We start from the raw sequence: 27,147 nt of genomic DNA on the forward strand, positions 1-27,147 counted from the left end.
AATATTTGTTTAAGTCTCTGCTTTCAATGTGTTGAATATATATCTAGAAGTAGAATTGCTGGATTATATGGTGATTCAGTGTTTAGTTTTTTAATGAAACTCTACACCTTTTTCCACAGTGGCTGCACCATTTGGGTTGTCACCAACAATGCACAAGCTTTCCAATTTTCCCACATCCTCCCCAGCACTCATTATTTTCTAGTTTTTGAGTAATAGCTATCCCAATAGGTCTGTGTAGATGTAATCTTTTTTTTTTTTTTTTGAAATGGAGTCTTCCTCTGTCATCAGGCTGGAGTGTAGTGGCACGATCTTGGCTCACTGCAACTTCTGGAGACCTGGGTTCCAGTGATTCCCCTGCCTCAGGCTCCTGAGGAGCTGGGACTACAGGCGCGTGCCACCATACCTGGCTAATTTTTTGTATTTTAGTAGAGACGGGGTTTCTCCATGTTGGCCAGAATGGTCTCGATCTCCTGACCTTATGATCTGCCCACGTTGGCCTCCCAAAGTGCTGGGGATTACAGGCGTGAGCCACTGTACGTGGCCATAGATGTAATTTTTAAGGATGGTTTGTGGCTTCTGCTCCTAGTTTAAATAAAAATATTTCACTCCTTCTTGCTCTGGAATCACAGTGGCCATTGGCACTGGCATAAAATTATGTATTCACTGCATAAGACATGTCTACAAGGTTAGGAAATGGATTTCCCAGAGTGGCTTTTAAAGGGGCTATGAAGATAGTATCAAAAAGAAGAGCTCTAGAAAAGTTTCCAACAGTGATAGCAGCGTTGGACTAAGCACATACCCCTCGTTTTCTTTGCAAGACACAGAGTGCTTCTCTTTATGCAAGTTCTGGTTTGTTTGCTGAAACACGCACTCGCACTCAAACACATGCATCATGATTTTGTCGTCATATCTCACAGACCCACACCAAGGAATCTGAATCAATTCTTGGAATAGACCTAGTATCTTTTTCTGGATGTTAGTTCCCAACATATTCTGAATTTTCAGTAATAACACCCAGGGTGGCAGTATCACAGACAGAAGTGAGCTTAATTCAGGTTTGGGACAGAATCTGATTACTCTCATATCCAGTTATTAACCACCTTTCAGATAATAGAGGATGACTGTTCCCATGGCAACAGAAGCCTTAAAGCAAGAGATCACTCAGCAGCCTGACGTTTTTAAAAAGCTCCACACTGATTTAACCTACTGGTGAAGGGAACCAAGAACCAAGGTCAAATATAGCCTCCATGGCAGGGTTTTTTCCTTTTTACTCCATCAGCGCTTCCTTTTCCCCGTAATTCTTCAAAAGAAATCAGTCTAGTGCTATCTTCCCTGTCTTCTGGCCTCTTCCAGGCCCGTTTCCCAACATCCTGGTGTGTATATGTGTTTGTATATCTGTTCATATTCTGTCTGCCTTACTCATTTCTATGTCAATCTAGACTCATGTCCTTCATAGCTATTAATCCATCATTCAAGGTGCACTTTTAGCTCAGAATTGAATAACCCACCAGAATAAAAAAGATTCCACTATTAAACATCTTTTGAGCAGGGCTTTTTGGATTGCTTGTTAAGCAGAAGTCAAATTTTCTTAGCTGCTCTTTCTTTTGTTTCATCATGAAAATATTTCTCATGAGTGAACACTTCTGATTTGGATTGGTACTAGTGGCATGTCTCATTGTTGTGCCTTTACTTGTGAGTGAACATTCTGAGCTGCCTGCCTGCAGATTCCAGTGACAAACGCTATGTTATTTTTAGTACCCTCAGTCATACTGAATAAATCCAATCTTATTTACATAATATATAAGGCTGAACTCATGGTTTGCTTTATGCTTTTAATGTCACAAGCAGACAATGATATGAACAATTGCACACTCCGTGTATGTGGACACAGTTTTTGTTGAATCAGATAGATTTACTGAGAGAATGGATCTGATGTGTTAGAGGTTTGCCTAACAGACATTTGGCAAATACCCATAAATGATTGCCAGTGGCATTACTTTTACCTAGAAAATGTTAATTCGTTGACACCTACAAACAGTGAATCTTGAGTTTTTCTTGAGACCGTGTTCCCTTTAAAGTGGACATACACAAATGAAATGTGCATGAAATCTCTCTCTTTCCCCTTCCTCTCACAGCATGCATGTATTCCAGAAGCACTTAGACCAGGTAAAGAGCAAGGATCTTGATTTTAACTATTCAGGCCTTAGTTTTTTCCTGACCATGGAAGCAGGAGGGAGAGCATGAAGCCATGATCTTGAGTCAGTTGAGGGATAAGGACATGCCATGTCTCCCTTCATAAGACATACTTCCTTCACTATACACTCTCCACTATACACTTTCTCCACTATACACCCTCATAGCTTTTACTCAAAGACAAGGCTGAAGTGTTTTTTTTTTTTGAGATGGAGTCTCACTTTGTCACCCAGGCTGGAGTGCAGTGGTGCCATCTCAGCTCACTGCAGCCTCCACCTCCCGGGTTTAAGTGATTCTCCTGCCTCAGTCTCCTGAGTAGCTGGGATTACATGTGCCCACCACCATGCCCAGCTATTTTTTTGTATTTTTAGTAGAGACAGGTTTCACCATGTTGGCCAGGCTGGTCTTGAACTCCTTGACCTCAAGTGATCCACCTGCCTCGACCTCCCAAAGTACTGGGATCACAGGTATGAGCCACTGCAGACACTATCTCTAGCCAAGCCTGCAGTTTTAAAATGAACTGGGTTGAGTCTTAAATAATGAAATAAATCTATCTTCATGACAGTATGTAACTGAAAAGTTATGAGGTAGTCTAAGATATTATTTCAGGAGCTTCTCATCCCATAGGAGATGGGAGCTTGACAGGATTGTTGGTCACATTTACTGGAAATAGAATTGTATCATGTTCAGGTCTAGCGTGGAGACTCTTCACCAACCTCCTTTCATCTCTTTGTCTGGGTCCTCCTTCCCTCACCTGAAAAATCTCTTAGTAGCACGTCTAGTTATTTCATCTTGGTCATCCAACCATGAAAGACTTGAGGGACTCCATTCCATGGAAACACTGAGATTAAGCACTGTTGATAAGATAACAGACCTGAGTTCTGGAAAACAAACATTAATTTATTAAACTTGCCAGTCAAGTGAGCCCTGCATTTGGGAACAGTTCCCCCAGCTATGCTTGAGCAGAGCTAATACATGTTACTAGGGAAGCACAGATGGTTCTGATTAACAGAAGTGGTGACAAGGAAACTGATGGACTCCTAGACCAAGACAGAGCTGCTTTAACACACTCAGCATTCCATCTGTCTTAGGTTAAAGCTGGTTTATTTTGGTTTTGCAGGTCCTGATATGATTTCAAACAGCAAAGTTTCTCGAGGGAAGAGATTCTAATGCATAAGGCTCTTCAATACTATGTCCTTGATGCTGATTTGATTTAAAGAACATGATTATTAAGGCTGTGTCCTTGATGCTTGCTAGCAGAAGCCCTTTAACAGTTTCACAGCACGACAACTGTATGTGAAGGAGGCAGGATATGCAGGGGAGGTGGGGGAAGCCTGGCTAGGGACAGTGGCAGGCAGCAGAGAGAAACATGTTGAAAAGGGATCCTAGACCACAGCCACATAAATGTGCTTGTGCAAAAGAATGGAGAGGGGAATGCTTGCCCTCGCCTGAAGGCAGGGTGGACACTGGGTCTCCACCGCATCCCCCAAGCTTTGCATGGTACCTGGCATGGGGCAAATGCTCTCTAAGCATTCGATGGATGAATGAATGAATGATAGGAAGATGGGGAAAACAGTCTGACAGGAGAACAATTTAAGACAGTGAAGGGTTCAAGGCCTGAGGCTGTGGCTGGGAGAAGATGATGAGAGCTTAGGTTCCCTGGCCTGGGTCATTCCTGAGACACAGATTTCATAGCCCCTTGCCCCTAATACATTCACACCAAGTGATGACTGATGTCAGGGTGAACTTTGCTTTCACAGAGGAGTTGTAGGGAGGGGTGAGGAGTGGAGAGGAGAAATCACTGGATTCTAGGTTCCTAAAGGGGTTGATGGAAAATGAGTGAAAACAAGTCCCCCTGTCTTTTTTGAACCACTGTACACTTAACCTGCTCCAGGTACTCTGCTAGACCCTTCAGACACTATCTCTAGTCCTTATAGCAAGCCTCTGCAGTTACAGTAGCGAAACTCATATTACCAACCAATGAGGGAGGGGCCTGTGACTTCCCTAGGCTCGCATAGACGATAGGGACAGGCTGACGTCATAGCCCACTCTGTCTTACTCCTTGAGAACCTTGATGCCACTCTCACCTGAAGTCCACAGGCAAGGTGGGATCCAGAGAGCCCTTTGTCCAGGCTGCCCTGAGTGTGACATTAGGTAAAGGGGATGAAGCTGGCCCTCCCGACCGTGGTGCCCACCAGGTCAGAGGTCTGCTGTTCCAGGGTGCTGGCTGCTTCTCTTACAGGGTGGAACACACAGTGAGTGCAAGCCCAAGGAAGCAAGAACTTCAGTTCTTCATTCTTTTCTTGCTTTACAGAAAAATTTAGTGGAACTTGAAAGCCTGATCATAAAGTTGACTGAATGAGAATTGCGCTAAGGTAATTTTGAAAAGGAAGAATACTCCACAAGGAATGCAGGAACTCTTGGGTTATCTTCTTACTTCAGATATAAAAATATCCATAAAGCTAGAGAATGAAACAATAGTGGCACATTTTTAGGTGGCAATTTGGTATATTTATCAAAATTGACAATAAATAAGAATTTTGTTTTTAAGAACTATTCTGGAGAAAAACTAAAAATGTGTATGTAGAGCTATGTATTAGGGTGTTCATTGCAGCCTTGTTTGTAAGAGTTTAAATGTGGAAATGTTCCAGATTTCCATCAGTACGGTAGAGCTTAAATTAATTAGGATACGGTCACACCACAAATACCATGAAACCATGAAAAGAAATTAAGCAGAGCCAAATATGCTGACTTGAAAGGACCTGAAATATATTTGGAATGGAGGAATGAAAAAAGCAAGTCACAAAACAATATTATGCAATGATGTTACAAACACATTGGAATATATTTGGAAGGATGCACACAAACAATTTTTAGTGACAAACTTTGCAATTAGAGAAAAAGTCAAGGGAGGGTCTTACTTTTTGATATACTTCTGTGTGGTTTTCCTCTTTCATAAAGAGCATATTCATGTGTCAATTGTGTACTTAATAAAATGATAATGTGGGGAAGCAGAATCTGGATATTTAGGAAACGAGAAAGACAGACAAATTAAAGATAATTTCAGGTTTAATCCTACAGGTGAGTTGACATGAAATTTAATGGACTAGATAGAACCCATTGCTATCACTGGTATGGGCCACTTATTTGAAGGGAGAATATCTTTGAGCCCTAGTTAGAGTCAAATTTTTGTGGCCAAAGAGATCATAGTGCCCTGAAGTATTCTGGGAGCAGTTAAGAATATGTTTATTGCAGCCAAATTAAATGGGGTCTTAGTGGCTATGATCGAAGAAGTTAGTACATGAAGAAAGGAAAAAATACAATAGGCTGAAATTGCTCCAGCAGCAATAAGGAAGGGAGTATCCCCTGGAAAAGTATCAGGAGGCTGTGCAGCACGGCAGGTGGGTAAGAGGAGAGAGCTACCTGTCATAGCTGCAATTAATATAAGATTATTCTCTTATCCAGCAGAAACATGAGCTAGATGCCTTTTAAGAAAATTAAAATATGCCTTAATTGCCTAGTAAAAATCATGAGTATGATAGAAGTATGAAGCCTAAAAAGAAACATTTCTTCTTAATTCCTGCTTCTAATTCTATACCCATTCCCATTAATCACCACTGTTAGAGTTTGGTGTGAATTCTTCCAGAGCATTTAGGCTCATATATATGTACACAAGCACACATAGAAGCACACTCACACACAATGACATGTGTGCAGAATTAAAAAAAAACTAAATATTTTACTAATGCATTCTCATTCTGAGCCTCAACAGGAGGCTATGCCCACAGAGCTGGCTCACCAAATTTTGGAGCTCTTCTTTGTGTTTCTTTATGGAATGCTCTGTGGCTGCTCTGGAGAACTGACTCTTCCTGAGTGTTTTCACCAGAACACTTGGGAAAGCAATGCAGGTTGGTTGTAAGTGTCACTGAGTGGGCAGATGTTGATTTGGATTTAGAAGAAATGGGATGCAGGAATTTTAGATTTGGGTAATTTGCAGTGCAATGAGTTTAAGAAATATGGATTTGAATATGGGTTTTCAAGCTATCTATATAAGCTTAGGAAAATTACTTAACCATTTAGAACCTCAGTTACCTTGCTTATAAAGTGAGAGTACAATGGCGCCTACCTTATTGCAAGGGGGTTCTGAGGACTAAAGAGGCAATGCTTACAAAATGTTTATCACCTTGCAAAGCATGTACTGAATGATCAATAAAGTAAGCTGCCTTTATTTTATTTTATTCCTGTTCCAGGTCACTTTTAGGCCACTTTTGAACACTTAGAGTCCTCTTCTAGCCCTTCTGAAAATTGCTTTTCCAAAGGCTTGACTTGCTTGCCTTTATTTTCTGATCTAATATTTATGCACCTTTTCTACTTTTAATCTATCATGTTTGCTTCAATATGCCAAGACTCCCACATGGTGTTTTGAAAATGAACCAAGAGGTAGGGCGTGGAGGTTCACACCTGTAATCCCAGCACTTTGGGAGGCTGAGGTGGGCAGATCATGAGGCCAAGAGATGGAGACCATCTGGCCAACATGGTGAAACCCGTCTCTACTAAAAATGCAAAACAATTAGCTGGGCGTGGTGGCGCATGCCTGTAATCCCAGCTACTCGGGAGGCTGAGGCAGGAGAATTGCTTGAACCTGGAGTTGGAGGTTGCAGTGAGTCGAGATCACGCCACTGCACTCCAGCCAGCCTGGGTGACAGAGTGAGACTCAGTTTCAAAAAAAAAAAGAAAGAAAGTGAACCAAGAACAAACCAAAATGCTTCACACACAACTTCTTGGAGTTTCCTTAAATTGAGTTATAGTTGATCATTTCTTGCATTTTAAACAACTTTCTTGGTTGATTTAGTGGCACAATTTTCCAAATTGATATTTGGTTTTTGACATCAAGGGCTAAAGAGTTTCCTTGCTTTTGGACTTGTGGAAATTTAGCTGTTTTTGTGCTTGTGGTCACTAGCTGACTCTTGACCCCACCAGCCCATATAGAATTGTCCTATATTAATTTGATGTTATATTATGTCTTAGTTGCACATCTAAGTGTTCTGTCAATTTATTTATTCAATAAATCTTTATGAGTGACCCTGAGTTTCAGGAATTGTATTATGTTTCAGGGATAGAGTGGTAATAGAGACAGCCCCTTCTTCCATGAAATGCAGAGTCTAGCAAGGCCTGTACACATTAAGTGATGAATTATTAATGCAGTAGTGCTCTGCTAGGTGATATGCTGTGAGAGGGACCCAGGCAGGGCTCCCTAAGGGAAGTGATACTGATATGAGATCTGAAAGAGGAATGAATAAAGTGATAAGTAGAAGAATATTATATCCAGAAGCAACTGCATATTCAAAGACCTGGACATAAGAGAAGTCTTGCGGTATTTGAAGAACTGAAATAAAACTCATGATTGCAGTGGAGAGCATGATGGTGTTGAGAGGTGAGGTGGGACTGAAGCCATATGAGGGATTTATTTCTTCCAGGAGTTTCCCTGACTGATTTCTGATAACAAGAGGTTACATAGTCTAGACTGTTGCTGAGTTTGCAATGATGACAACATGTTTGAACCTCCTTGAACATAGCAGTATTTTATCGCTCTTTGGTGACTAATGAAATTTTGTCTCTGGTCAAGTAATTGGATTCTTAGCATGACACATTTTATTTCAAGTCAAGAAGACACAAGTATAAAAGACTAGTGACTGAATGCCTCGAGTTTATATAGAAATAAAAAAGACTTGGAACTAGAGAGTCTTTGTTTTGGATGGTCTTTCTGGATTTCCTTTGTTAGTCTTTGTCTTTTGTCTACTTTTTTGTCTTCTTAAACTTTGTCTAAATGTTGTCAAACAGAACAAACAAAGCAAAAACAAAACAACAATAGATTCTGCTTCAGAGCTGTGAAGATCCAGGCAACTTTGATGCTTCACAGTTAAAATTTTCCTTTCAGTAGCTGCACTTGCAATTGTCTCCAGCACCAGCAAAGGAGTGGTAAGAGCATCATGGTTTCCAAGATCCAACTTGTAAGGCACGTGGGAATGGGATACTACCTAAGAAGGAATTCTAGTCTTTTATTCTATGTAGAATAAAAAAAACTTATCTTTGTTAACTAAAACCCTTGACTGTTTAAAATAATATGATTTAGGATAATCAATAAATATATTTATAGAGATGCGCTATATAGCATATCTGATATAAATGTTTAATTCATTCCTAGTGGTATGTATAGAGTTTCACCTATGGCTCTGTCTTGCCTTACTCAAAAAGCAGAACAATTTCTTTCTTAGAAAGAAAGCTACCAGTGCCCAGATGCCCACTCCTATTCTTTTTAGGGAATGATAATTTGTTCTCCTTTGAGCCCAGATTTCTCAGTGAATTCTCCAGTATGCTCACAGCTCTCCCTCCAGATATTTTGAGAGCTTGGAGTCATAGTCCTGCATTTTTAAGGAAGCTGTGAAAATCCACATGAGCTCTCCTTTTCCAGCTGTAGAAAAAACTAAATAGTGTCCCAACACCACTGTTGGTTGAGAGTCCTTTGGATCTAAGTTTTCTTCTTCTGTATTCTTATGGGTCCTCGTGAAAAACAAATGTAAGAGAATAGCAGAAAATAAAATACACTGGCAGAAGGATTTTCAATGTTAAGAACTGGCCTATGACAAAACTGGCCATTTTACATCTTTGTCATATTTATAGGTTTACTTTTCTAATACTTATACTTTTGATTTGCGGCGGGAGCTTGGAGTCGGTAAGGTAGCCATAGACAGGAAGATTTGTACAATGATGGAAAGCTAATAAGCACTTGAATTTTGTTAAAGAAAGATTCTCAAATCACAGTATATTTTTGGCAGTACAGAAAAGTATTCTTCTGGGGATAGAGGGAGTGTCCACATAAGTCAGAATGAAAATGAGCTGGGAAGGTGGGTAAATTTCCCAACTCTGGAATTTGTGGCAGAGAGAGCAAATAACTGCGGCTCTCCTGGCGCCTGGTTGCTCGCACCATGTCGAGGCCCAAGCACGCGAAATCCCAGCACATCATTTCGGAGGAGGACCAGGGCGAGCAGCAGCCGCAGCAGCCGACCCCCCCGGAGTTTGTAGATGTGGCCCCCGCGGTGTCGGCGGCGGGGGAGCTTGGTGCTCGGTGGGAGAAAACGCAAGTCTATGAGAAAACTCAAGTCTATGAGAAAAGTTCTTTAGCATCTCTGAGTTCTTGGAACGTAAGAAAAATTGCACTAAAAATCCACCCGTCTTCATCATGAATGATGGCGAGGGTCCAGTGCCTTCAGAAGACATCTCTGAAGCTGTACTGAGCCACCAGCCACCCAGTCCAAGCAGTGAGGATGGCCACAGGGAGAATGGGAGCAGCTCAGGGGACATGAAGGAGAAGCTGGCCGTATCTAAAGACAGAGACGGCCCTGTCACCCACCCCCGAGTAGATAAGATATTTACCCAAAGGCAAAGTGGCCAACACTAACGTGTCCTTGCAGGCACTATGGGGCACCAAGGTGGCTGTGAATCGGCGGAGCGCAGATGCCCTGCCTGCCCCTGTGCCTGGCGCCAACAGCATCCTCGAGCCGATACTGTGTCTGTAGCAGCAGAAGCAGCTACAGCAGACCCAGCTCACCAAGCAGATCCGCATCCCGGTGAACACATTAGCCTCTCGCGCCTGCACTCCAGCGGGGCGGGGCCGACACCCTGAAGACCTTGGGCAGCCACATGTCCCAGCAGCTTTCTGCAGCTGTGGTTTTGCTCAGCCAGAAAGCTGGAAGCCAAGGTCTGTCTCTGGACGCCTTGAAACAAGCCAAGCTACCTCACGCCGGCATCCCTTCTGCCACCAGCTCCCTGTCCCCAGGGCTGACGCCCTTTGTTCCAAAGCCGGATGGGACCCGGCTGCTCCCAAACGTCATGTTCTGCCTCCCCAGTGCTTTACATCCTCAGGCCCCGGGCTCGCTGCTCTTCCAGAGCCCTTTCTCCACTGTGGCGCTAGACCCAACCAAGGGAAGGGAAGGGAAGCCACCGGACATCTCCGTGGTGGATGTCAAATCGAAAGATGATGCCGTCCTCTACAAGCACAAGTGTAAGTGCTGTAGCAAGGTTTTCGGGACTGATAGCTCCTAGCAGATCCACTTCCGCTCCCACACTGGAGAGAGACCCTTCGTGTGCTCTGTCTGTGGTCATCGTTTCACCACCAAGAACGACCTCAAGGTGCACTTTTGCTGACATCCCTAGGTGAAGGCAAACCCCCAGCTGTTGGCCGAGCTCCAGGACAAAGTGGCCACAGGCAATGGCATCCCCTATGCACTCTCTGTACCCCTCCCTGTAGATGAATCAAGTCTCTCTCTAGACAGCAAACCTGTCCTTGTAACCCCCTTGGTAAAGCTACCTGAGAATCCTTCTTTGGTGACTAACCCCAAGGACATCAAGGGTGGCCCCCGGCCAAGCAACTTGCAGCCTGGGCCTTCTCCAGAAAGTGAGGGTGGACCTATACATCCTGGGGTGGGACCAAACATAATTCCCAAAGGACTGGTGGCTTCCAAGGGAATGGGACCACCGACCCCAACGAATGTCTCATTTGCGACCAAGTCTTAAGCTGCCAGAGCTCCCTCAAGATGCATTACTGCATCCACAAAGGGGAGAGATCATACCAGTGTGAGATCTGTGGCCAAGTCATTTCTACCAAAGGTAACCTGAAGACACACCTTGGGGTTCACTGAACCAACACGTCCATTAAGACGCAGCATTCTTGCCCCATCTGCCAGAAGAAGTTCGCCAATGCCGTGATGCTGCAGTAGCAGATTCACCTACTCCAAGATGGATGGCTCCCAATCAGGTATCAGTGCAGATGTGGAAAAACCATGTGCTACTGACAGCATTCCCAAAACCAGTTTCCTCACTTCCTGGAAGAAAACAAGATTGCAGTCAGCTAAGCTAAAGAAGAACTTGCACGAAAGGAGAAATGCAGATGGAGTGAAATCTCTAGAATCCGCTTTTTTTTGTAAGAACTCATCCCCTCCTGTTTTGTTTTTCTTACTGATACGCAAATGATGTTTACGATGGTTGTGATCACAACCTCAGGCAAGTTCTACAATCACAATTGTTGTTATATTGCTTTGCAAAAAATTGAAAAATAAAAAAAATACCAAAACAAATACACACTAATTTTTTTAAATTTTGGAAAGAAGCTTTGTTTCTTGTGACAAACTGTATATATAGAGCCTTTGTACAACCTAGAATGACTTTTTCCAAAGACTGTTACCTATTTCAAGGTAGAACCATTGGAACTTACTGAACAACAGTGGAAAAGACAAATACATAGCCTAACTGAGGGGAGAGGGGTACTGTATACTTCTATGGTAACTGTATGCAGGTCTGTCATCTATTTAGGGACCTGTTTTATATGCCCCAACCCTGTCCTCATCTTATTGTTTGTTTTTTTGAATGTAATAATAAAAAAAATACAAAAAACTAAGGTTGTAAAATTGAAAAATTGCTTCAGCCTTAGAACTTTAAGTAGGATGCCTTCAAATGGACTTATGCTAGTCCTTAGGGAATCAATACGTGTGTTGCTGCTTATTTAAATACAGTTCAATTGGAGCCCCGAGAGTGTCGACGTCCTCCTCACACTTCTTAGATGACTTCCTCTTCCTGAACTCCAGAAGAGGTGGGCACCTGAGCGGGGAATCTCAGATGACTTAATTTAGTTTGCCAGTGCCTACTTTATTGAAGAACTGGGTTTTCATTCTTGAGAAGAAACTCATGGAAGGGCATTTTTCCTATCACAGGTTCACATATTAATTTTTTTTTGTTGAATTTCCTTCTATGACTTATGCCAAATAATTATGGAGATTTTTTGGTTTTCTTGCAGAATATTTCATGAAGGCTATGAAGCTGGAACAGGCAAGTCCTGGGTGTGAAAGCTTTAATTGATCTACCTCATTTATTTTTTAGTTATCATAGACATAGGGTCTGTTTTCCTAGTTTAAGACCACTAAAATATTCCCAGGCCCTGTCTAAAACCTAAGAGTTGATGTATTGGTGGGAAGCGCTGAACGTTCAAGATGGTTTTGTGATGTCTTTTTTTTTGCAATCTCCTTTTGTGCATGTAATATTGAGCAAATGAAACATTGCTCTTGGTTTAACAAGAAAGGAGAAAGAAAGAAAGACTAACTTCTGGGAGAAAAGTTTTTCCCTCTATGTGGAAGGCCCTGACTGAAATGTGGATCCAAGACTATTGGCCAAAGTATTGTCTTTTTGTTGTTGCACTTCACTTTAGGATTCCCTCCACCCCTGCTTTTTTTGGGCAAGTTGTGCCTTTCCTTCTGGAATTGTAAGTGAATACAACAATAGTACCTATTCACACTGTGAAGTGGATATTGTTACAGAAAACACACCAGTGGCTTTCTCAATGTTGAGCTAATAATGTCTTGTGAATGTATAATCTGTGGAGAAACCCCTGTAGTTGTACCTGCTGATGCTGTCTGTTGGTAAATGAATTTTGAATTTTTTTCTCCCCAGAAAAGAAAATGAGTGGGAAGAGAACCAAATAGTTAAGAACATGGTCATAAAGAGTCTAGATTTTGATGAGAGAACAAAGGAAGAGTTAGAAATAAGGTGTGAGAAATGATCATAGTATCTGGCTAGAAAGAAAGCCAACTTTGTTTGAATTTAAAGTGGACCAGAGGGACAAATGGTGTGAAAAGCAGTGTGACTGATGATATCTAGTAGGTAGCAGATGCTGATGGAGGGAGGGAGGGTAGACTGCATAGACAGGAAGGGCCTCAGTATAAGGTAAAAATGATTCATCATTAATAACGACTAATTTTTTTTTTAAGCATAGGTGTTGTGGTGAAGGGACAAGTACAGGAGAAAGTATACAGTTATTTAATTATCTTTCCTAAATGTTGAAAACACACATGTAGCCTTTATAAGATATAGTATTTTGTGAATTAGATGAAGAGTTTGTGCATGGATACTGTGGTGCCTACTAGGGCACCTTCTTCTTAGGTTCAATGAAATATTTAGACTCACATCATGACCACAGGCCCCCTTGGCCCCAGTCTACTTGAAATACTATAGGACAAGAACTTTAGAATGTCAGAGGACAGTGTCAGGTGCTCCTCTGCTGTGGGAGTCCTTGCAGCAGTCTTTACCACTATCCACACAATTGTTCAGGAGCCATTCTCTGTGGCCCTGATTTAGAAGACTCCTGCCCCACAACAGCCAATACCTCTTATAACAACTCCCATCAGGGGTTTATGGTTCATTTATAGTTCTGCCCAGTCCAGATGCAAGTTACCAATAAAGAGTCATTATTATTATCAGTAATGTGCCAGACAACAGAGTTGACATCATTTTTATAAGGTTAGTTAGGGGACAGAGGGAGAAAGTTAACCAAAAGTCAAATTCTCAAGTAGAAATAAAAATGGTTAGCCCTTTACCTGCAGATATCTAAAAAGGCTCTTGTACCTGTGAAACTATAAGACTGCCTAATGCCTCCCTGTGCTGTGCTATCCCAGCCCATACATCTTGGTAATTAATATGGTTTGGCTGTGTCCCCACCCAAATCTCATCTTGAATTATAGCTTCCATAATTCCCACAAGTTGTGGGAGGGACCTGGTGGGAGGTAACTGAATCATGGGGGTGGGCAGGTCTTTCCCATGCTGTTCTCCTGATAGTGAATAAATCTCACAAGATCTGATGGTTTTATAAAGGGGAGTTCCTTTGCACACACTCTCTTGCCTGCCTCCATGTAAGACGTGACTTTGCTCCTCATTCACCTTCTGCCATGATTGTGAGGCCCCCCCAGCTATGTGGAACTGTGAGTCAATTAAACCTCTTTCCTTTATAAATTACCCAGTTTTGGGTATGTCCTCATTAGCAGTGTGAGAACAGTGATCAGTCACTATCTACTGAATGTATATAGGCGACATGATGTAAACTGAGAAATCTCAGTTATCTGACACTAAAGGGCTAAAATTGACAGTCCAGATGACCCAAACCATGCTTCAAACTCCCCACAAGGGCTGTGTAGCCAGGATATATTTTCATTAGTTAGTCCTCATAAAAACATGTAAAGTGGGTGTTGAAACTGTCCGTCAGCCCTTTAGTTTCTGATAACTCACATTTCTCAGTTTACATCATATCATCCATATACACTCAGCAAATGGTAATTGATCACCAAAAACAAAAAACAAAAAACCCCAGCTAATTTGGGAAATATGGAAATACCACCAGGGAAGTAGAGAACGATGCAGGGAGGGAAGGCAGCTAAGGTAGGTGCGCTACCAAGCCAGCTACCATAGTGGGCAACTGGAGCTCATCCTGGGGTGACTGTGGGGAACAGTGCAAACCCACACCTCAGGATGATCCCAGCTGAGGGATGAGGGAGGCAGGACATTTACACACCAATGCCCTAGAGCCATCGGTTGAGGGCTGCTCCCAGAAGGTGCTAACTCCCTGGTACTTTGGCCTGCTGCACAGGGGCAGCAGAAAATAAATCACTGGAGCAGGAAATATAGATACTGGCACCGGGGAGTCACTTGAGCACAGTGAATGATCCCAGGGTTGTGGGCAGGACATGGACAACATCTGTTATGGCAGGCTTGCATTTTAGGTCTGGAAATGCTATGACAAAGAAACTCTTTTTTTCCATTTATGAAGTCCCTCCACAAAGTCTCCGTGGGCTTTTAATTGAAATATGAGCATGAAACATTTAATCTGATGGAGAAGAAATGGTACAGCAAAGTGATTACAAACTCTCAGGAGTTCCACTGCTTGGGTTTAAACCCCATCTCTGCTGCTTGGATAGCTTAGTTGTGTAATTTAGGCAAGGTCTGGAGCCTTTTTGTGCCTCAGTCTTCTCATTTGTGGAATTGGGACAATAAGGATGTTATGAGAATTGAATTAGATGATATGAGTGAAAGACGTAGATAGAACAGATTGTTGGGGTCAGAGATGAATAACTAAGAGTTTTTGCCCTCGTAGAGTTTAAATCTTTTTTTTGAGATGGAGTTTCATTCTTGTTGCCCAGGCTGGACTGTGATGGCGCGATCTTGGCTCACCACAACTTCTGCCTCCCAGGTTCAAGTGATTCTCATGCCTCAGCCTCCCAAGTAGCTTGGATTGCAGGCATGTACCATCACTCCTGGATAATTTAGTATTTTTAATAGAGACGGGCTTTTACCATGTTGGTCAGGTTGGTCTCAAACTGCTGACCTTAGGTGTTCCACCTGCCTTGCCTGCCAAAGTGCTGGGATTACAGGCGTGAGCCACTGCACCTGGCGAGTTTAAATCTTAATGGGGAAGATACTTAAGCAAACAGATCATCTTAATATAACAGGATCAAATTTGAGATTGTGACAGACACAACATCTGTGGGAGCACAGAGAAGATGCATTTAGCACACTCTGAGAAATCAGAATGGCTTCCGGGGAAAGAACATGACTAAACTCCCAGACAGGAGGGGCTGCATGGAGAGAGGAGTGCCAGGCACAGGGAAGAACGCTCCAGGTAAAGCAATGTGAGCCTCACTCACCTTTTTTCTTTTTTATACAATTTAATTTAGTTTAATTTTAAGTTTAGGGATACATGTGCAGGACGTGCAGGTTTGTTACATAGGTAAACATGTGCCATGGTGGTTTGCTGCACCTGTCAACCCATCACCAAGGTATTAAGCCCTACATGCATTAGCTATTTATTCTGATGCTCTCCCTCTCCCCACCCCCCAAAAGGCCCCAGTGTGTGATGTTCCCCTCCCTGTGTCCATGTGTTCTCATTGTTCAGCTCCTATTTCTAAGTGAGAACATGTGGTGTTTGGTTTTCTGTTCCTGTGTTAGTTTGCTGAGGATAATGGCTTCCAGCTCTATCCATGTCCCTGCAAAGGACATGATCTCATTCCTTCTTATGGCTGCATAGTGTATGTACCACATTTTCTTTATCCAGTCTATCGTTGATTGGCATTTGGGTTGATTCCATGTCTTTGTTATTGTGAATAGAGCTGCGATGAACATACACATGCATGTACCTTTTTTTTTTCATTTGAATTGTATTGGATGAAGTGACGCAGGAGTGAGTTTAGGCAATCACTTCAAAAGCTTTACCACTCTGAAGCTGAGGAGTGGAGTATGAGATGGAGGGCTAGGCAGGGGGAGGGGTGGAGTGGGCGTAGGGCTGAGCCCTGGTGGTCCCAGCACTTCCTCTAACAATCTGCATGACTATAGACAAGTCCTTCACCCTCTCTAAGCCCTCGACTCCCCACCTGACCAAAGAGGGGCTTTGGGTAGCTGGGTCGTGATCAGGGCTTATAGCCCTGTCTAAGTGCCCACCTTCAGAAGCGTGCTTCAGCCTTTGTGGGAAGGTGGTTATGCATGCTGCTATGGCCTGTGATTTAGAGGGTTTTGACAAGTGTGGAGAAGTGTCTGCTCCCCTCTCATGCTTCCCATCTGGAGTTCTCAGTTCTTTGCCAAATTCCCTCCAGCTCTTTGGCACGGTGGCCTGGTCTCAGAGCAGGCTGTGCCTTGGAATTTGGCTTTTTGGGGACATGTTCTCTAGTTCTGGCCTGTTGAGGTGGTCTTGTTCTCCTTGTCTCCATCAGTGCCTGCTGGGATTTGGCAGGCCGACCCCCAGCCCAGACTAGGGACAGAAGGCAATGGAAGCCCCTCACTGGGCTGCACTGATGCATGGCAGGACCACTCAGTGTCTTGAGGTTCAGCTGTGGTCTTTCATGCATGATTTAGTATCAGAACTAGGCTTTTGGTGTTTGGAAGACAGCACATCCTCCAAGGCATCACATCAGAGATGAAACTCTCACCTCCATGTTTTCTTTCTTTTATTTTTTAAATTTTTTTACAGAAACGAGGTCTCACTGTGTTGCCCAGGATGCTCTCCAACTCCCGGGCTCAAACAATCTTTTCGCTTTGACCCCCGCAAAGTGCTGGGCTTACAGGCGTGAGCCATGGTGCCCGACCACCTCCACGATTTCTTTACACTGGGATTGCCAGTTGGTGAAGGTTAACATTTAAGAGGTTGGATGTTAATATTGTTGCTTTTCCACCCAAGAGGACAAAGATAGAAAAATGAGTTTCCGTATAAATTAATTGGTCAAGTGGTTGTGTCAAACCCCTCAGAAGTCACCTGGTTTTCCCATATCAGCTGGTGCTCTAAGTCATTTGCAAAAAAGCCATATAGTCTAGTCAGATCACTTCTCTTCAGTCATTTATCTCCATCATCTTGTAGAGAAGGATTTAAATTATTTATCAGTTGAGTCTTACTATCAGTTAAAGTGAGGTTCAATTGTTGACATTAGTAAAATTAAAATAATTGCAGTTTAAACAAGGTAGCTATTTTCTCTTTAATTTCTCTCTTGTATTTCTTTCTCACTTTAATGCCAGCATGTAGGTGGTCCAGGTGGTATGGTTACTTTATATCACAGCAGATCCCAAGCTCCTTCTACCTTGTTGCTCTGCCAGGCAGGACCTCCATGGGTTCCTCGTAGTCCAAGATGGCTGTTCCTGCTCCTGCCATCAAGTCCACATTCTAGCTAGTCGTAAGAAGAAAAGGGGTAAAGAAGGGCATGGTACCTCCCAAAGGCCTTTCCTGGAGGCTGCATATGCTTCTTTCTTTAGAATGTTATTGGATAAAACTCGATGATATAGTCACACCTACCCATAATAGGGACTGGGAAATGTAGTCTTTTTTCCTGGGTGACCATGTGCCCAGCTAAAAGTTGAGTATTCTGTTATTAAAAGAAGAAAGGGAGAGGACATATGAGGGGACAATTGGCAGTTTCTATCACTAACTAGATTTGACTCTTGAGAGTGTTGTATGATCTTGGGCACAGAATTAGAATTATTTGAGCCTCAATTTTCTTATCTGGAAAATCATTATAATGTTATTTACCTCACTGAGTTTTTGCAAAGATAATACAAAAATTAAATAAGGTAATGTTTGTGAAAATGCTCGGTAAACTTCAGAAAGCACTGTACAAGATATTATTAGACAATAATTTGTTTTCACATTTTCTTAAGCAACTTCTCATTATGAAAACAGACAAAAGGAGGGGCACAGCAGGTATATTTTGAATGGAATAAAAGTCACTTCGGAAACAAAAGCCAATCTAGGGACAAGCATGGACGTTCATCTTGTGAAATCAGGCAGAAAAGTCTCAAAAGCAAGTGTTCAAATGTGAGTTTCCCAATTGTAATTGGAAAGATGATGTACTCCACTAAAAAGGGTTTTCCTTTGGTATTTCAGCCTTATTAGCCTTGGCTCAAACCTACAACAGGAGAGGCACTCATAACCGACAAGAGGTAAAGAGATCTTCGAAGAGTTTTTATATCAGGAGGGCTTTATTTGAATCAGGGGAAAGGGTCTTTAAAAAGCCGAAATCCATTTGTCTGTTTTGCCTAATAAGGAAATACTTTATAGCATGTGATGTAGTGCTCTTGGAAAAGAATCAGCACTTTTTCCCTCTAGATTTTAATGGGACCTGACGTAATAGGAATGGGCCTCAGTAAATATTGCATATAATTATTTATTAGATTTGTAAATTCCTCCTACTGCTGAAGCCTCCAGGCATATGGACAAAGGTGGAATATCAGGCGGCAAATACATCCAGACTTAGCAAACACAATTGTGAGGTCATCCTATGAAGGCTCCAATAGAAACGTTGGCTATCCATGGGGCCAGAAGTAAACACTTTGTGGAGCAAAATGACCAGATTAGGAGGCGATGACCCTTTATTTGGGACTGGTCTGGACTGTTGTTGCCAGAGGGAGGAGGCCCTCTTAACTCTTTGTGTCAGTGGTGTGTGGGGCTTTGCAATACTGGCCATTGAGATCACAGTCCAGCTTACAGAGGGCTGACTCAATCACCCACAGACCGAGGGAATCACTTGAAGTACAGTTTTCTCCTTTCATGTGGAAGGAGCAGGAAGAAGTGATAGCAAACCATCTTCTTTGATTTTCTTGTCATATAGAAATAGCCATACTAATGAAGAGGTGCTTAACATGAACCATGAACCAGGCATATTTGGATATAAATCCAGATTCTGCTAGTTAATACCTAGATATTCTGAAGTAAATTACCTGCATTTATGAATTCTGCAGAGTTATTTTGAGAATAATATGCAAGTAATTTACACATAGTAGAGACTCAATAAGTGCATCTGATAGCTAGCTGAGGTATATCGTAGAGAAGAAGGTTAAATACAGAAGACTTACAGTCCTTTCTCTGTCCAGTGAAGCAAATGGGGCCTTATACCAAGCCTCACAATGCTACTGAATTTTGAATTTTGAAGGCACTTTTAAAAAAATTTGTTCAAAGCATCCCAACTCACCTAAAAAGGTAGGTTTATGAACCAAAGCATTCTCTATGGGAAGAATATCCTTTTGGCTCAATTGCTTCACTTTCCCTAATCTCCTTCACCTTCAATTTCAGATTCTTTATGGAATCCCAGAAATGAATGGTCTGGGAAGGTTGTCTAGAAATGTTTTATCTTTAGGAAGAACTGCAAGCAAACCATTCTTAAGGAGTTAAGAATACAGCCTAATACTTAACTGCCCAGTGAGGTACCTGGACACCGTAGTATGTCCCAGAGATTCACGCCACCCTGTGGTAGCTTTGCCATTCCATTCAGGGAATTATTCTTCATATATAACTTCAGTTCCTTATGGTTTAATTTAGGGCACTTAAAAAATGCTCTCATTTGGCATATATTCATTGAAAACCTTCTCTGTTCTTGACATTGCCAAAGCACTGAGACATATATTTGGTCCTTAACTGAATAGAAATATCACTGATATTCTATTAGAAATGAGGCCCTCCTTATATTTGAAGAAAACTCATTATTTCTTTTCAATCTTAACTATTCTCTACTTAAAATTTTAAGAATCAGTTCATACTTTTAGTCTTCACATCTAGGTATTTAGTCCTACCTGAACCCTATCTAATTTCTCCATCTTTCTCTTTCTCTTTTGTAGAAACAAAAACTACCAATTCTTTGAACTTAAAAACTTTTTATTTTTCTATGTTTGGCCACCAAAATGCTCCCATAAAGAGACCAGATTGTTTTGTATGGAAATGTATTATAAGACCAACATTTAAATGGAAAAAACCTGAATTAAGCAGCTATAATTCAGTTGGGAAATTCAAATGAACGCATAAAACACAACAGCTGAATTGAATTAGTCCCCTGATGGTCAATTCACTAGCCACAAAAAATATGAAATGAAAAATCACTTTTTCCAATAGTTTGAAACAAAACCTAAAACATTTTAAAGTCCCTAATCAGTAAGAAGAACTCTGATTTCCTTTACTTTCACGGAAGCCCCTGAAAGTAAGACTTTGAGAGAAATACTTACAAAAAAACTTTGCATCACCAGTCTTAAGGGTAGAGAGACTCACAACCCATCAGCTTGCTTTTAGGTAAATCCTTCCCCCCGACCCACCTTAAAGGTTTCAGATGGTAGACTTTAACACAACTTTGATGGAACTTTTTGATGATACAGAAGGCTTACAACATATGTTTCAAGTTTATGAAACCATTAACGATACAATTTTATTTGTTTCAATAGTACCACAAAAGAAGCAAAATACCCATTTGTGGAGACCTCTGTAATTTCTAAAGTATCTTTATCTCCCAACACACTGTATGATAGGTCAGGGAGGTATTATTTATTTTTTCTGTTAAGAAAATTAGAACTCAGAAGTTGAGGAGCTTGTCCTGAGTCACCCAAAGAAAATGGCAGAGCTGCGGTCACAATTAAATTTCCTGTGTCTCAAATCCATATTGATAGCCTATTGTACTCAAGTCTGTGAAATCCCTATTTTAATAGGTCCATGGGGACATTTGAGTCATTTCCCATAAAGATCAACCTTTACCTTTGGAATCGCTCTGGCCAACTTTTGTTTCATATGCATGTGTGGCTTATCACAATGTCTTGTGTTTCTATTGCTCCTTTCTCTGAGAAAATCCAGGCACATTCCAGACACTCAAGTCTAATCAGCTCTGACAGCAGAGAAGCAGGATTGGACTACGATGGGGGTCATTTGGCACTTGCCCAGTGACTGTGGTGTAACCCATTCATTCAGGTATTCCTGGAGTAAGAATGGCCTCAGTGACCCACCACCTCTGTATGCTAGGTACTTGGTTGGTGTTCCCTTCTCCTTAAAATCATACTCATGTAACCCCTGCTGCTTATCCCTTGCTGTTATTCCTTTTTTTTTGAGACGTGCCAAACTTCTCAAAAGAGTAGTGCATGCTTGCTATTGATAATTTCTCTTCTCTTATTCTCAATGTGTCATCCTGGTATTAGCTCTGACTTTCCCTCTAAATGATGCCCATATACTTTCTCAGGTTTCTTTCTCCTTAACCTAAATCTGGCTGCACTCTTGTTCTTGAAATTTTCTTCTCCATAACTGTCCTGATCTGGTTCTCTTCTTCTTCCTAGCTCTCCAGGTACCATTTTTTCTCTCTCGTTCTCTTTTTTTTTTGTTTCTTCTGGCTCCATTTTATTGTTTCCACTCCATAACAGTGTTCTTAACCCATAGTTCTTTAGGCTCTACTAACTTTTTCCTTTTAGCATATCGTTGCTTTTGTGGCTTCATCTCTGACATAAATTTTGAATGACTCCCAATCCACAGCTCAAACTATGTTCTCTTTTCTCAGCTTCAGCCTCAAATTTGCAGATGTCTACCCGACAGCTCCACTTTGATGCCCAGTTGCCACCTCAAACTTATGTCTAAATGGATTTCTCCTGGTCCCTCTCAGACTTCTTCATTTCTGTTGGTGGCATCATTCTTCCACTTACTCAAGGTCATTGTTTATAATTATTTTTTCATCCTTTTTCTTTTCCCAAATACAACACTGACTTTTCCCCTCTCGCATTACATTTCATCCTTCTATTCCTAATGCCATCATTATAGTCTGGACCATGCCTATTGCAATGAGTTAAGTGTCTTCGATTTCTACGGACTATAACACCACCCTACATGTTGTGCCACCCAAGTAGTTACCTTTTGTCCTCATTTGATATAATTTATGTCTACACTTTGGGCTGTGGCTTCTCTGCCATATTCTGTTCTATGCACTTCTTCCAACTTAAAGATGAGAGATTTATAGTATAACTCAAATAAAATCAAGCTTGTTCTCCCATGGAAACCATAGACTCCCATAAATTTTAATGGGATCTTAGCTCTCTGATGTTCTTTCCTATTTGGAGTAGAACATGTGGCAAGGAAAACAAAATCATTTCTTAGTCTTATCTTTCTGTAATGTGGTTTCTCTGGGCTGGTTCCTCTGAAAGAACTGGCTTCTACAGTGAGGTCTGATGAATGCTATGTCCTGGGCTGTGGTCACTTTGTATTTGACATGAATGTATGCACTTCTCAGCCTCCCAGGCACGGTTTACAACATTCTTTATTGTTTTTCCCATCTGGAGAGAGATAAGGTATAATACTTCTTATTGATTTTGGAAGCATTTCTATAATGCAAACAACACCTATCTGAGAAACCTTGTACTAATCACAGAAAAATGTGATCATGTGGGTCGAGGAGTGCAAGAATTTCCATAGCTGTAGGTCTGTGGGAGTATTTCCTTCTTATGATTCAGACCTTGGTTCAAAACAGTTCTCTCAATGGAAAAGGTACAGCACAAAAGCAGGATATTGGAATTATTTCTGCATTCATTCTGGTTGTACCTTAAAGTTGGAAAAACCCTTCCTTGCTCCATTTCCCTGTTGGTGAATTATGCCCTAGATTTCCTTGTTCACTGAGGAACTTACTGAAACTTCTAGCCCAATAGCCTTAAGGGGACTCTGAAGCGAGGGAGTTCACATGGCACCGCCAGGCACACTGATTGCTAGTGACAGAACCTAGACAGAACCCTCTATATCCTGCCTTTGGGTCTAGTGATCTCCTCATCGTGGAGTGGAGAGATTTTAGTGAAACACAGTGGACCCATCTTCAAATTTGAGAGGTCTAGGGAAAGAGTTCAAATGGAAGCCTATGTACCCTATGTCTAAATATTGAAATTTGTAAGTCAGGCTGAAAGATGTTAAATAAACTATAAACATATCTTAGTAATAAACTGGAAAGTCTGATTAAAATTGTGACTTCTCAAAATCTCTATGGAGTACTACAATGGTGTAGTGTGGGAGAATGCATCTCCGACCTGACCCATTCATTTCCCTTCTTGGAATCAACTCCAATCAATACCTGAATGGGCCTTGTGTGCCCACATTCCAGTTCTATCCACTCCTCCTCCAAACAGCTGCCTCTTGGGGTTAAGTGGCATACACCAGCTGTGCAGTTTATTCTTAAGAGGTCACATCTGGGAGGAAGCCCACATAAGACCTGGAAGCAGGCTTGGGATGTTTGGGCAAGAAACTCCAGAGTCTTCAGGACCCAGAGAGTGGTATCAAAGGGGGATGTGATTCACCTTGGCTGTGCAGGCTCCTTGACTGATATAAACTGGTCATAGGCACAGTTGGGTATCTAAGGCAGGACCCCTCTTACCTGGGTCTTAGGACAGCACTGAAATATATCAAAGGTACATTGAGAATACTGTTCCTTTGTAGCTTTGATACATTTGTAGAACACTATTGTTAGGTCTTTCCACTCTGACTTCCCATCATCTTTCAGGGCTGGCTCTCACCTGCTGTAGAAAACACACAAACCCCACTGATGAGCCTCCAATGTAGGTGGAACGAGTCCAACCAATCTATTTCCTCTATGTTACCGACCTGAAATGACTCCCTCCTGTATTTCCTTGTGTTAAATTTTGCCCTCATCTCACTGCTAGAAGTCCAGGTAGCCCCTAGTACAAATTCACCCTTTGGAAAAGCTGTGATTTAGTGCCAGGTCTAGGAGATGCTGTGTAGCAGGTGGATGGGGAGCCTTAGGCCTCCTTTCGATTCTCCCTCTTGACTCCCAAAAGTTTCTTCTTCTCAATTGTCAGATGCCTATTCTCTCATGTCTCATCTGCCACCTTTACCCCCCACCACCCTTATGCATTCTGTACTTTGAAAATACCTCATCTCCCCCAGTCTTTTTTGTGCCATTTTCTTAAGCCATCAAAAGTCTCTTCCCTTCAGAGAAGCTGTGTGAAGTGTATAAATTTTTTTTTGCTACATTAATCCATTAGAAAAACTTGTAAGGTAAGAAAGTTCATCTTGAAGCCACCAGGCTGTCTTTTCCCACCCTTGTGTTGTCCCCATTGTGCTGTTTCCATTTTCTCTTTTCTATCAAATCAAAACCAGCTCTCAGGAAAGAATACTCATAGGTAATTTGTGGTATCTTGGAAGTGGCATAAATGACTTGGTCTTCCAAAAGAAATGTTGCTGGTGGGGGCTGGGGGGAGCAAGTATTCTGGGTCACTTGAAAAGGCCGTAGAAGTCATAATATGTTGGGTGCCTGAATGCTCAGCCTCTGTATCTGCCATTCAAAGGGCCCTGCAAAGCAAGGCCTGTTATAATCCAGGTGTGTGTCTATATGCACCGAGGGTCACATTGTAGAAAAAAAGTGCAAAGACAACAATTTATTCCTAGTTTTTGCAAATCAGGATTGTCTTCTCCTTAGGGCAGGAAAATGAACTGGAGGAAGGAGAATAAACACAATGCTGAAGAGCCTGTTTATGGGGGTTCAAGCATTTCTGTTTCCTTCCTTGCTTTGCACCTCCTCACTCTCTTAACACTCAGATTTCTGGAATGGACCCAGGATGCAAATGTAGCTATAGGATTTGGATGCAATTCCTCTATGTTCTCTGCCATACCTCCTTTCAAAATGAGTCAAGAAGAGAGAAAACATAAAGATCATCTTCTCTTTTTAATATAAACAATCTGTGGCTGCAGGAAAAGGGGTTGAAACACGAGGGATAGATATTACTCAGGGTGACAGTCGGCCTTCTGCAGAATGACCTTTACTGACTGTTTATCCTGACTGTTGGAGAGGAAGGCCAGGAAATGCTTTCAAAACGTGGACACATCAGTAACCAGGATATATATATGTTCAGTGACTGTTCCTCTTCTACCAACTGAAATGATACGCAGTTTTATTTCTATTTTTACAAAATAATTGAAGCGAGTTCGTTGCTTTCTCCAGGGAAGTAACTGAGACATAATTTCAAGTATTAATACAACAGAAGTCTTAAAGGTATACGTGGCACATGATGCTTGAACTTTTACAAAATACTTTTCCTTAGAGGAAACTTTGGAGGCTGAATGATGTTATGGATAGAGTTCAAGTTTTGAAGTTAGATCTGTTTTAAATCTGTTTCCCTGTATGAAGAATGGTGTTGCTTATTCTCTTCGATCCCATTTCTTTCTGTATAAATGTAGTAACAACATTTAAATCTTTCTTGATTGCTACAAGGGTCAAATGAGAAAATCTATGTGAAGTGTCTGGCGGGGAGTTGATGCTCAATGAAATTTAGTTTCCTTCTATGGCCAGAGACTGCTTGTTGCCTAACCAATATCCATATCCCCTTTTCATTTAGTACAGACCCTGATTTCATTCTGATGGCTGTATGCTCAGTAATGAGGCCATATGTCCCAGCTTCCTTTGCTGCTAGAAGTGGTCATGTGATGTAGTTCTAATTAATAAAATGTATACAGTTGTTGGGTAAGGTTCTGGGAAAGTGCTGTAAAGGGGAGGACATCAGCTAATCCAGACTTTTTCTATTCCTTAACTCCTTCTCCCTATTTCTCCTGGAAAGCAGACATAATGGTTGGAGTTGCTGCAGCCATTTTGGATCATAAGGCAACTTTGAGGGTGCAGCCATGCGCTATTAATCAGAATTGTAGAGAAAGATAGGTATCTGGATCCCTAATGACACTGTAGAGCTATAGCTGCCTAGGACTGCCTACCTCTGGACATTTTAAAAATATGTGTGAGCTGAAGAAATTTTTATCTTGTTGAAACATCTCTCATTTCTAGCATCTGTTATTAAGCAATGGAATACAATTCCTAACTAATATGCCTTTCTCTTATACTTATTTGCTCTTATTTAATCCTCACGTTTATCCTGTGAGTTAGTTTAGTTTTCCCTATTTTATAAATAAAAAACCTGAAGTGAAGAGGGTTAAGTATTTTGCTCCACATCACTCAGCTATTCTGGGTTACCACTGATTTTTAACTTTATTATCATTGCTCTTTCTACCATAAAGGGTAATCTGTTGAGTTTTCCCAAGACCCTTTTACCCTAGGTCTTGCAGCCAGTGTGGCATGATGGTTAGGAGGCCAAACTCTGGAGCCAAACTACCCAAATTTGAATCCTGGTGCTACCAGTTACTGCTGAGAGATTTATGTGCAAATTGCTTGACCTCTTTGAGCCCCAATTTCCTCCTCTATAAAATCGAGATAGCAACACCTCATAGAGTTGGTATCATCCTGAAATGAGTCAGTGTATCTAAAATGCTTAGAACAGTGCCTGGTATATAGAGAGCTATTAAGTGTTAGCTATTACCGTTCCTTTTTCTACATCAGGCAGACAAATCCACTCATTGGACACAAAATCTCTAAAACCATAGCTAATCTTGAAAGATTTTACCATATTTCTGAGGTTTCAGATTTACATCAGTGTTATGGGGCATGAGTATTCTTAGCTAATTCAGAGTCCTTAGCTAATCCTGAGACCTTCCTGTGATCACATGGTTATGAGTGGGGGCTCCCTGTAATGGCACCCCTGATGGGCTGGGAGCCCAGGAATCCCTGGTGGTGGGAATACCATCTTTGTTATATAGGAAATGGGAGCAGGTGGCTGATAGGATTCTGGGTGAAGAATACTGGGGCGTGAAGGACTAAAAGTTAAGTATAGAATGGAGGCTCGAAAAGACATGTTGATATCTTAGGAAGAAAAATATAATTTTCTAGACTGGAGCCAAGAAAGAAAAAAAAACACACATAAGGGAAGGCTGTAAGGGAAGGAAATAAAATTTAAAAAGGGCAGAGAAATTCTCAAGCCTGGTGAGGT

General features: G+C 41.7%; 1 long non-coding RNA gene and 1 pseudogene across 1 annotated transcript in view, besides 1 other annotated feature; both read left to right on the plus strand.

The window, feature by feature from the left end:
- Nucleotides 1-27,147, plus strand: part of RMEL3 (enriched in melanoma 3) — a 140,307-nt gene that overhangs the window by 18,180 nt on the left and 94,980 nt on the right. The gene's annotated exons all lie outside the window — the stretch shown is intronic.
- Nucleotides 8,250-8,419: an enhancer, noted in NCBI's record as "experimental_86414 CRE fragment used in MPRA reporter constructs". NCBI's record gives its function as "activates a minimal promoter by MPRAs in K562 erythroleukemia cells, with activity observed for the introgressed 5:56717448 variant allele {active_cell/tissue: K562}" and the evidence as "EXISTENCE:reporter gene assay evidence [ECO:0000049][PMID:34662402]".
- On the plus strand, nt 9,095-10,977 carry SALL4P1 (spalt like transcription factor 4 pseudogene 1; annotated as a pseudogene).

The sequence above is a fragment of the Homo sapiens genome, chromosome 5 (assembly GCF_000001405.40).
Source record: "Homo sapiens chromosome 5, GRCh38.p14 Primary Assembly".
Taxonomy (NCBI): Eukaryota; Metazoa; Chordata; class Mammalia; order Primates; family Hominidae; genus Homo; species Homo sapiens.